General features: G+C 53.2%; 1 protein-coding gene across 5 annotated transcripts in view, besides 1 other annotated feature; it reads right to left on the reverse strand.

Annotated features, from left to right (window-relative positions):
- Positions 1–12388, reverse strand: part of DIP2C (disco interacting protein 2 homolog C) — a 415468-nt gene that overhangs the window by 338583 nt on the left and 64497 nt on the right. The window lies entirely within an intron of this gene.
- Positions 7086–7585: an enhancer, noted in NCBI's record as "H3K4me1 hESC enhancer chr10:665809-666308 (GRCh37/hg19 assembly coordinates)". NCBI's record gives its function as "activates a minimal SCP1, AML or CMV promoter by ChIP-STARR-seq in primed H9 embryonic stem cells {active_cell/tissue: H9 hESC(primed)}" and the evidence as "EXISTENCE:reporter gene assay evidence [ECO:0000049][PMID:30033119]".

Genomic DNA, 12388 nt, shown 5'->3' on the forward strand with positions numbered 1-12388 from the left:
TCAAGAAATGAGACAAATATTGACGCTCCACAGAAGCAAGTATTCTCTTCCGGAAAGTCAAGAAGTGTCAGGTTCCCATGAGCCAAGCAGCTTGGTTACGGAAAGCACTGGCTGACTTGCTGGTTTACTGTTAAATGCATGTAAAATTTTAAGGGATCCGGCCCCCCTCCCAGTGGGTGTGCACGTTGAGCTGGCTGCAGCAGTGATGAACGCTGACCACGTTCTTTCCTGCAGTTTTGCTTCAAGCAGAGCATCCCACACCCAGGAAGAGGTCACAGGACAGCATGGCCCAAGGTCTAGGACCGTTCTAAGGAGAGCTACAGGCTGACTGCCTCGTCTGCAAAAAACAGTCACTCATTTCAGGGGAAATTACCAGAGTTCATAACATGTGAATTTTTAAAATTCAGATTTCTAATTTCATCCCATTAGAACTTTTGAAGAACAGATGTGCACCTGCTCCAAGCCAGTGAGAGGACGCTCGGACAGTCCCTTACAGGTCCTCGGCCTCCGCCTCCCACCTAGAAAACGTCAGCTAGAGCCGATCACAGTGCAGTGCGATTTTCTATAAATAATGTGCACGCCTGCATCTGAGCTGAGATGTGAATGTCTGGAACGTGCCTGCCAGGCCCGGGAGGAACTGCAGCAGCTGTGGACACAAGCCCACTAAGGAATCCGATTTGGAGGGAACTCAAGGCACCTAAAACTGGTTCCACTGGTTTTTCTTGGCAAGGCTTGACCAGGCAAACAACTGCATTCGTCTCCACCCTGGAAATATGCGATTCCTTACCTCTCAATAATTGTCACTGTTTCTAATTCATGGTAATTGGGATGGGGACTTAACAGCAGGTAATTAGAGCAATTGCAGAATTTGCTACTGAATTACAATGGCAGATTCCTGAGAATGGAAGAACTGTTGCCCAGGAATGGAGTTCAACAGATCCTCTCCACACCCTGGTAAACATGGCATTTCGCACACCTGCTTTGGTCCCCCAGCCACCCTCCTGATCTCAACAGGTCTTCCCTGTGCCCCGGGAAACATGGCGTTTCCACACACCCCTGCTTTGGTTCCCCGGCCACCCTCCTGATCTCGGCCATCTGATGGCATCACTCCCCACAGCTGGAAACACCTGACCTCTTGTCACCCTCCCATCTGCCCTGCCTTCCTCCAGCCCAGGATATTCAGGGATACCCACATACAGGACCAGGAAACCAGGCATTATCCTAAACCAGTGCCTGCATTCAACGTCCTCCATGGCAGGACAGTCACCAACAGCCAACGCTCCCAGAACCTTCCACCTCAAAACAGGCACACATCTGGATTCAAGCTGACAACGCTGCATTCTCTTTGCCATGCACACATGGAGGCATGTCAGGTTCCACCTAAAAGGTATCACTGGGTTCCACGGTGGCTAGGAGCCCAAGCCGAGTCACACTTGGTGATCTCAATTCACCATCCACACAGAGAAGCCTGCAGTTTTCCTCCAGTGTATGGTGTGGATGATGGGTGCATTTCCCCTGGAGACTCGGAGACGGGAGCCTGGCCAAGGAGGCCAGAGTCACCCCAGCCCCCGCCAGGCCTGGACATGCACCTCTTTGTCTGCACACAGTACCCAAGTCTAACAGTGCCGGCTCTGTGGTGGGATCCGTCTCGGCCTGCAGAGGACCCGGGGCACAGGAACCATGCAGCCTGGCTGCAGCCAGAGGCCTAAGGGATCCCCCCACGAGGCTCTCCAGCCAAGGTGCCCTCACCACAGGCACAGCCGTGCAAGAGAACTGCCTGCTGAACTGGAAACGTCCCAATCTGCTCGGCCGACACAAAGACAACAGCCACCTACAGCTGCTGAGCCCCGAAACATGGCCACTGGGCCTGAAGGGCTGAGTCTTGAATGTGATCCATAAAGTTCCTTTCAAGTGTGTTTAGCTGTGTAATCAAATCTTTATTCTAATGAAATTTAAAGGAGCCTCTGGCTACGGGCTCCCTTGCCGGGTATCGCGGCTCCAGGGAGTAGGTATGGGAAGGAGAGGCCCAGAGCCTCTCTGCATTCTCCACACTGATCCAACACGTCATCATAAGGAAAAGCACTCCAGCAGGAGAGGTGTGCATGGGAAGAACTGGGTTGGCCCTGACACAAGCGTGACCCCCATGGCATCACAGTTGCCTCAGCCAAGAGACAAGAGACAATGACACCCAGCTGGACAGGCCACCAGATGTGATGACACAGCCGAAGCGCTGGTCCCACGCCAGCCAGAAACCACCAGCTGCTCGTCCCATGTGAAACAGGCAGCGCTGTCCCAAGCCCTCATTAAGAAAGGAGAATTAAGGAAGCAATTCCCGTGATTCCCACGACACACGTGACACTTCTCGGAGAGAGACACAGGCTTCACTGTGAAAGTGCAGAGGACGGTGCGGTCCCTAGGCGGGCTGCTTCTCCCAACGATCGGGGAAGAAATGAGATCTGTTTCCCTGTAGGAAAATCATTTGTACCGTGATTAGACAGAAGACAGAAGGTGGCTGATGTTATCAAATCACCAAGCACTGCATGGCTGCTTCTGCAAGGAGGGCCTGGAAACTCGCAGCCACCCGCATAGGGGCCACGGTGTTTACAATGGAGACACAGGTGACTATGAGGTCTGGCTTCCTCAGGGACGCTAAATTTGAACTTTCGCCACTGAGGAATCAGTCATTTACAGTCACTCACCCTCAATGCAGAAGAGGGCTCAAGACACTGCACCAGACTTCAACTCTCAGGGTTAGGGTCAGAGTCATCAAATTCACCAGTTTTACAAAACGTCTATTTACTTCGGATGCCAGAAGAGATGTAGGTTCATATACACACACACACCCGCCCCACACACACACACAGGGTTTGCTTAGCCTCTTCACCAGCGCATTTCACCGACAGATGACACATCCATGCCTCATCCATGGCAACACAGAAACCCACTTGGAAGACAGCCACTCCCACCAAGCTTCTTGACTTTAGTGTTTAAAATCTGCGTCTCATGCGTGAGATTACACTCCTCCAAACAGACATTGCGCCTGTGTCACTTCACCCAAAAGGGCTTTAGGAAACGACACGCAGCCCAGATGCCAGAGTTTGCCGGCCGTCTTACTCTAGCCTGATTCCTTTGTGCCTGTAGGGAGGCTCCACAGATACAGCCCGCTCACATTAATGACCACATGAGAAGCTCAGACCATAGACAAACTCAGTGCTGCATTTTTCCACATTTATCACCCTTTTGTTTTATCCTGAAGACGCTGAGAAAGGCTGGGGCAGATCTCCTCCTTGAGTGTAATGACTCCAGGCACTTCTCTTCACCCAGGTCATCCCTCAGTCACACACACTTGAGAAACAAAAGCAATTCTGTTCTCTTCACTCTGGGTTCCAAGTACTAAATTCCTCGATTTTATCAATTAGATTATCAAGCAGCCGTTTGTAATCTGGACCGCAATCCGATACAAAATTTAAAGCTAATTTAGGTGGCAGTAATAGCTCCTATTTACGTTACAGACAAGCATGAATGAAAACTTTAATCTGTGTTTATTGTCCATAGGACCCATTTTGTAAACAAACCAATTATTCAAGCAAGGATTGTCTTCAGTCAGACGCAAATTAATTTGCTTTGTTCATAAAAGATTTTCTTATTTTAGGAATTTTTAAATCCATGGTCTGCATTTCCCAAGCCTGTCTCTGCACAGCGGGACTTCCCAGGGCATCCCATCAGCGGGCCCACTGAACAGAATAAGCAGGCAGCCCCCAGACCAGGAATCAAGTCTGAGCCCCAACAGCCCCTCGCCCAGCCAGGGCTTCCTCACCAGCACAGCACCCAGAGGTCTGCCAGGTTTAATGCCACGTGTGCGTGGAGAGCAGAGTGCGGGAAGGACCACAGTGGACATTCTACAAATGCAAATTCCCTCCTGGAATAGCCCAGCAACCCTGTGTACCTTCCTCAAAGTACCCAGGCCAGGCAAGCATAGAGAGTCTAATGGGGTGCCTAGGAATCAGCATTTAACACAATTCTGATGAAAATATTTGAGAGCCACGCCCATCAGCGAGAGGCCGCCGTGGCCTCTACTCATTTGCAGGCTCTGAAAAGACAGATTCAGATAACAGGCCAGACAGGACAAGGATGGGGAGGTGGAGGGCAAATTCCATGGACCACCAACCACCCCCCATCCCCACTGAGACTCCGTGATTTAAGGAAAGAAAGCCAGGGAGGGACTGAGATTTCACATAAAATGCGTAGCACATGGCTAAGGGCCAAGGTTAGGCAAGCCAGGAGCACACAACGGGGTTCACAGGCCCAGAGGTGCCCCCACACCCAGACCCCATGCAGACCTCCCAGGCACTGCCTCTGTGCCTCCCGCCTGACTTATTTCCTGCCCCCCGCCCCTACTGTGTTGGTATCTCAGCCGCCCCCTGAAATACACGACCTCCGCCCCCCACTACCGCACATGCCTCTCTACAAACTTGGGGGACTGCAAATAGCAGCGGGGTAAGAGCTGGGCTCTAGGGCCAACGTCCTGGCTGAGACACTAGTTCCACCCCACTCAGCTGTGATGTGAGCCCCTGAGATTTCTCAAATGTGAGATGGGAATGGTAACTGAACCCACTTCCCAGGGTGGCTGTGGAGACTGAGACCACACATGGCCATATCACGGCATCCAGCACACGTGGGACCCTAGCCGTGTTGCCCTTGATGGGAATCCTTCTATGCACCCTCTGCCACCAGGGCCAACTCCCAACAGTAGCTGTGGAGGGTGTGTCCTCTATTCCCACTCCACCCACCTCCCATTGCTCCACGCAGTGACCTGCCACGTAGCGGCCACCAGCAAACCCAGCCCCACTGTCCAGGCTCCTGTGGATACCACCCCCCCACCCCCACCCCTGCTTGGGGCGTCTTCCACTTGCGGTTCCGAAGGAGGCTGAGAAACCACCCTCAAGGGCGCTCACCTGCTCCTTGTTGCACGTAATGACCTGCCACACAGGGCAACCAGCAAACCCAGCTCCACCATCCAGGCTCTGGTGGGTAACCGCCCCCCCAGCCCCAGGTGTCTGGGAGGCTCAAAAACTGCCCTCCAAGGGCACTCATCTGTTCCTTATTGCACTAATACCTCGTTTACAGAAATCCACTTTGACTTCCCTGCACTGCAGGTGTGACAATTTAGGAATCCTGCTTGCTTGTGAGCTCCAAGAGCTTGAGGTCACGTCCACCTCACCAGCATCCCAGGACCCAGTACTGTCCCACTCTGTGATTGTGTGTTTAAAATTCCAAAATACTCTTTCAGAATGCTATTGGCATTTGGTCTGCACATAAAATGCTAAAAACCCTCAAGTGAAACAAGTATCTTCAACAGTTTGATTCAATCATGTGAGTTACACATCTGCCAAGTTGTAAAGCCTCATGCATTTTTCTGATAATATTTTCTTATGTATGGTCAAATGGTTCATTAATATAAATTACAAGAATCTCTAAGAAACAGGTTTTTTTCTGGCATTAGATGACCAAAGGAAAACTGGGTTCTGGCTGGCTTGCAGGCCTGGAGAGGCAGACATATCTGCTGAAACACAACCAAGCTCCTTCCCACTGACATGGCCTCGTCCCAGGCCCCTGAGCCGGACGCCCGCAGGCCCCTGGAGGAGCAAGCTGACCTGCCCACATTTCTCAAATGCACAGCTGTCGCTCGCACTGCAGACAGAGCTCAAGGCACGAGCAGGCGCCCACCATGCTAAAAATACCACACAGCGTCCACGCCAGGTGACGGTGGCTTTCACTCCATCCCAAAGCTCCATGTATGAATTTAGTCATGACTACTAAATAATGATTTTTAGACTCTCATGACAGACTTTGTTTGCTTTTATGCAACAAAGTTAAAAGACTATCACTCAGCTACAGCCTCTGAAACCGTGGAATAATTATTTGGGAACAGAGCCTCTGCCAGATCAGGATAAGTGCTTGGGACAATACCCCGTGACCTCGGTCCACACAGACACGTGCAGACCAGAGCCCTCCCGCACTGCTCAGCCACACGGCCACGTTCAGGCTGAAGCCGCACGATCGCCAGAAACACTGTCCCTCGCCAAGGTATGCCTGGCTTCTCCCTTTTTCCAGAACTTAACAAAACCTGAAAGGACAGGTCTGTGTAGAAAAACATCAAAAATACTTCCAATTCTTCTTTCCAGCTGAGGCTGCAGGAAGCTCATTTCAGCCCTCACTGTGTTCTGACTGTGGCCTGCTTCCCATAAGAAATAAAATCAGAATTCTAGTCGCTGTCTCCTGAGCTGTGTGGCAGGCGGACATACCTTCAGTTATGTGAGGAAAGGCACGGTGAGCCCCCTTCCTTCAGTAAAACTGCAGTTCCCAGAACACTGATGCCGTCCCCCTAACGCCACTGTGAACACCTGGACAAGTCACATTTCAATACGTGCACCTTCGTGGGCTAGTTTTACTACTTCTCTATTAAATCACCCCAAACTTAGTGCCCCAAACAACACGAACTTATTTTCTCACATTTCTGGAAACTGGAATCCAAAACAGGTCCCACCAGCTAACGTCGAGATGTCAGCAGGGCTGGCTCCGGGGAAGCGACCGTCTCCTTGCCTCCCTCAGCCTCTAGAGGCTTCCGCATCCCCTGGTCCTTATGGCACCCACCATCTTCAGAGCCCACGGCAGCCCTGGCGGCTCCTCAACAGGAAGACGCAGAATATCGGGAGCACAGGCTTTATGCCAGGGCCAGGACCAAGCCCGCCCGCCCGCCCTCCCACCCAGCTCCTCACGCACTCCCGTGCGAGCTAATATAGATTCCACTTTAACTAGTGTCACCTGTGCAAGGGGTAAGTGCCCAGCTGTGAACCTGGTTACCCTCACCCACACAGACCCCAGGAATAAACTCATGGGCCATGGACCACTCCACAAGCAATGAGTGACCACCTGGTCGGGGACCTCCATGGCCCAGCAGAGCCCTCTGGTGCCTCCCCATGGGCCCAGGGACCGGCAGGCTGGGCTCTGCAGCGCCAGAGAGTCCTGGATAAAAATGGCAGCTCCCGTGTTGGGAGGCACCCGCCCGTGGATGGGTTCCCTGTACTTTAAGTAGACCAGGTGGACAAGCTACACCACTCACGGCTCCATCACTAGAATAACAGCTGCACGTGGCAAGTGCACGGGGTGGCCACCCCTTCAGCCCAGCTGGCTGCACTAAGCACATCACCGGCAAGACACCCAATCAGATGCAGCTGCTGGCACAGCCCAGGTGTCGGCCCCCAAGAACATTCTGGATCACAATTCACAGTAGTGATTGCGATCAGGGTCACATGTGGCTGAATGTATTTACGGAGGACGCCACAGCCGATCTGGCTGGACGGAGAGCATTTCCCCTTGTATAGTCTTACAAGGCCATTTTATTTGTGCTTTATTCAATTTTTATGGCTTTTTTCTGCCTATCTATTTTATGGGAGTGTTTCTTGTTCTTACAACTGCAGTGATACTTCAAGCTACAACTATCAATGTGTAAAATTAGTTTGGAAGGCGCCTTATCATTAAACGTTTCACAAGCAAGCAGTCAGAGGCACCTAAACCACAGGCCTGTTTTCTTCTCTGAGCCAAACCTACATTGGACTCAAAGAAAACGGCACACGGAGAGGGGCTGGATCTCCAGCACCCATTCCTAGGGGGCCTCCTGAGGGGCAGATACGGAGGGAGAAGCCCTGGGCTATGGCACCGTCGTACTAAAGAAAAGTCCATTTGGGTAAATTTAAGCACCAGACAAGAAATTAAGCAAACCATGAAAAGAAACCACTAACCACAGCTTCTCCAAAACAGAACTAAACTACCTTTAGTTTGAATTGGAAAAGCAGAAGTGATGATCAGGATACAAAAAAATGACAAAGTATCTGAACACGGGAGAATAAACAAGGGCCACTGTCTCCTCCTGTGTCAGTGGGAGCCTCGCATCTAAGCTGGATTTAGAAGGTTGCTACTTTGGACTGAAAGTTATCCCCAACCCTGCTTTGTAAGCAAGTGGAGCAGAACGCTTCAATTATTTCAACGTTTAGTGGTAAAGCTCTGCAACTCTCAAAACCATTTTAATTGGTGTGAATTTTATAGTAACTAAATCTGTCGGCTGGAGTATCTAACGGCTTAACCACGGGGTCATGTGGGAAGATTATTCCAGTTGTTTTTGTTTTTCCCACTGAAGATGCATTTGAACGTTCTTGTAGTTTTCAGTTGGCTGGTTCTGACGTTTGGTCCTGAGGAGGCCCAAGTACCTGGAGAGGAAGAATCTGAAACCTCAAGACACTTGAGTGCAGTCTTCAGAGAGGGAGACCCCGACCCAAGGGGCCACTGACGGACTCAACACAGGCACAGGGCCGCCCGACGCAACGGGCCACGTATTCGCCACTTACCAAACAACATAAGCACACACCCCCAGGTGTGCACACACCTTCTGTACATGCTCATCTGTGCCAATATGAGCACACACCCCCAGGTGTGCACACGCTCTGTACACATCTGTCCCTGCCAACACCCACACACACCCCCAAGGTGTGCACACATGCTCTGTACATGCTCACGAGTCTGTGCCAATATGAGCACACACCACCCCCGGGGTGCACACACTATGTGCTCACGAGTCTGCCAATATGAGCACACAACCCCAGGTGTGCACACACGCTCTGTATGCGCTCACGAGTCTATGCCAATATGAGCACACACCCCCCAGGGGTGCACACACACTCTGCACATACATCTGTCCCTGCAGCCTGAGTCAAACAGTCACAGAGAGGAAGAGGAGGAGGAGGAAGGATGCGATGGGCACTGAGGTCTTGGGCCGGCTCCCCTCCCTATCTCGGGGGAGACCCCTCGTGTGATCCTGCCATCACTCACCCTTCCGCCTCCATCCTCCATCCTCCCACGTGGATCAGGAGGACGCCCACTGCACAGAGCTGTGATGAGCATGAACAAAAGACGGCAGGAGCTCATGCCAAGGTGCTGAGCACGGGGCCTACGGAGTGCTTCTTTCTGCTGCGGCTGACATCATCAAACAAGAGGTTGACATGGCTTCCGGAGAGGATGTCATTCGCTGATAAACTGAAACATGTGACCTAGAATCTACTGTGAAGGTCTAAGAACAAACCAACAAACCAAATGGTTTTGTTTGTTTTTCAAACACCATAGCCTGTTTTTTCTTTTTTTTAATGCTCTACCGTGTGTCTTAGTTTAATTTCAAAGTAAGTCCAATAAATACACAAAATCACAGGACTGAGCATTGAGCATTGTTTCCCTTTGTGTCCTCCAGCCTTTAGGACACATTAAGGAAAGACATGATTCCAGGATTCCCATTAGAAAGGCTGCCCTGAGGCACCTGCTGGGGCTGCCAAGTCGCAGCTGTTGATGCTGCCCCCAAGCTGCTTGGATGAAGCGGAAGATTCCAGAAGTCTCTTCTCCTCCACCCCTCGCCCAGGAGAGATGGTAGGGGGAGGGAGGAGGGGGAGGGAGGAGGGGGAGGGAGGGAGGAGGGGGGAGAGGGAAGGGAGGGAGGGGGAGGGGGAGGGGGAAAGGAGGAAGGGGGAGGGAGGGAGGGGGAGAGAAGAAGGGGGAGGGAGGGAGGAGGGGGAGGGAGGGAGGGAAGAGAGGCATGTTCCATCCACCAAAGCAGCTGCATTGCAGTGAGAATGGAAGGCGTGTTGCCTCTCAGAACAGCGAGTTCAAGCTGTTTATAACTGTTAGCATAAACAGTGACCAGCTGAGGACAGGGCTGTAATTGGAGTTGACAACATTTTATTTTCATAGTTGATATCAGGGACCTGGACCTAAAGCACCATGCCTTGCCCTTTCGCCGATGGGCCAATGCCTCTCTATGCTTGAGTCCATTTGACTAAATACCCGATATTGACTTGGAATTATGACGTGTAGGATACCCCTTACCACAGTAACGTCAAACTCACGTTCTTCACGTTCTAAATGTAACTTGCTCAGGGACTGGCTTCTAACTCCAGGTGGGAATGTTAAGCTCAGTCCAGTTCAATTCAATAAGCATTTATCAAGAAACTACTAGATCAAGAGCTGTGTTAGACACTGGGTATGGGGTGATGGGGATACAAAGATGTGGAATTAGAGCTCGAGAAGCTCAAATGCTCTCATTTAATTCCCTAATGCAATTACCCAGCTTCAGCCTGATGGCTGTAATGTCTAAATTCACTTTTTCTTTATTCCAATTCTACAGCGCAAAGCATAAATCATCACAGAGGAATGATTCTGTGTTGGAATATTCAGTGCACAGAGAGGTGCATTCTGACAGGCGTGAGACATTGTCACCCTTCCCAGGGAGCCAGTGAGGTGGCTGCACGGAGCACGCGTGTGAAGATTCAGGAGCACGAGCATCAGGTGACAGGAGGGGGCACGGAGGCAGCACCAGATGGATGTGTGCCGAGGGGATGCTGCAGCCGGGCTGGCGAGGGAGGTCACAGGAACGGGCGCAGGCATCTCCCTCCAGCCGCACTTGACAGGAGGGGGCACAGAGGCAGCACCAGACGGATGCCTGCCAAGGGGACGCTGCAGCCGTGCTGGCGAGGGAGGTCACGGGAATGGGCACAGGCGTCTCCCTCCAGCCGCACTTAGGTTTTCATGAGGACGGGTGCAGAGAAGGGGATGAAACCGAAATGCTGTGGGGCTGAGGGGAGGAGGGGAGGGATGCAGGGCTGAGGGCTGAGGGGAGGAGGGGAGGGATGGACACAAGGCCAAGGGGAAGAGGGGAGGGATGCAGGGCTGAGGGGAGGAGGGGAGGGATGCAGGGCTGAGGGGAGGAGGGGAGGGACGCAGGGCCGAGGGCTGAGGGGAGGAGGGGAAGGAAGGACGCAGGGGCGAGGGGAAGAGGGGAGGGATGCAAGGCTGAAGGGAGGAGGGGAGGGACGCAGGGCCGAGGGCTGAGGGGAGGAGGGGAGGAGGGGAGGGACGGACGCAGGGCCAAGGGGAAGAGGGGAGGGATGCAGGGCTGAGGGGAGCAGGGGAGGGATGTAGGGCCGAGGGCTGGCCACTGCCCCTTGCATCCATGCCCCTATGAATGCTGCCAAAATCAGCCCCAACAGTGAGAAGTGAGGTGGATGAAAGAGGCGGACAGACTTGGCTTCCACAGCCTTCACAGATTATACAGTCATTAAAAATTCCTTCTGAGTTTTCATCTGGAAAACTTTGCAAATATATTTAGAGACAAGAGGTCAAAGATGAAGCCAACACAGTTGGGCTCGAACCGCCACCCTGCTCCTTCTCTCTGCACCCGGGACCCGCCCTGAGCCCCTGAGTGCGAGGACTCGGGAACTGCCCAGCCCAAGGGCGCAGCCCCTGACCAGAGAAGGGAGCCGCACGGCGAGGCCCCCAGCACATGGATGGAGGGATCTGTTATCTCGGTCCCAGGGTCCCAAGCGGGGAAGGCCTGGGGCTCCCAGCTGAAGCTTTGCTGTCACCTCTGTCACCAAAGTTGAGAAGGACTGAGTGGGACCAAAGCCGGACCTGCCAGCTCCTCGGTGGCTGCAGATGGGGCCCTCACGCTGCAGGTGGGACCGTCTAGGGGAGCCCACAGACAGCATCAAAAATCACAGCCACAAGTGCTCCAGGGGCCCCAAAACACAAGCACAGCCTGAGGAAGGCAGCGCCCGCTCAGCTCCACATCCAGGCTTTTGTGCCTCACTCAAGAGGCACACAGCACCAGAACACGGCTCTTTAAGTGCCTTTCTAGGGTGTACGAACACAAAGTGGGGCCTTGAGTGGCTTGGAAGTCACTCCCACCAGCCCACGGGGGCCCGGGCAGCCCCTCTGGATGTGGCTGGAGTCTCTCCAGGGCGGGCTCCAAAGTCCCACGGAGGAGGCGAGCGTCGGTCTTGCTCTGACCTGAGGCAGCCCCCTGACAAGTATGCTGAATATGCAGGCACACAGCTGGCTGACTCATCTGAAAGGGACCTGCTGAGCCACGAGCCAGGGACGCTTGGAGAGAACCTGACTGACACATGAACCCTCCCCAGGAGCTCACCTGGGGCACCCACGAGAAAACTACGGAAGCTGTGAAGACGGAGGTGTGCATGTGGCCGGGAGAACCCGGGGGGGGAGCCGCACTGGGGACAGAGGGGTGGGCCCCACGAGCAAACGAGGGAGGCGCTCGGTGCCCTGAAGGCCCCGCTGCACCCACAGCTGCAGGCCTGGCCGGCGGCGCAACCTTGGCTGCCAGGGCCCAGGAGCATGTGTGTTGGGCAGGAGCTGCCCAGCCCTCCTGGAGCCGCACTATGGGCACCGTCATTTTAGACGCAGGTGCCTGATATTAACGATGACAATCAACCATGCCACCCTGAATTACAGCCGTGTCCTCAGCGGGTCACTGTTTACGCTGACAATTACA

Source organism: Homo sapiens, chromosome 10 (assembly GCF_000001405.40).
Source record: "Homo sapiens chromosome 10, GRCh38.p14 Primary Assembly".
NCBI lineage: Eukaryota > Metazoa > Chordata > Mammalia > Primates > Hominidae > Homo > Homo sapiens.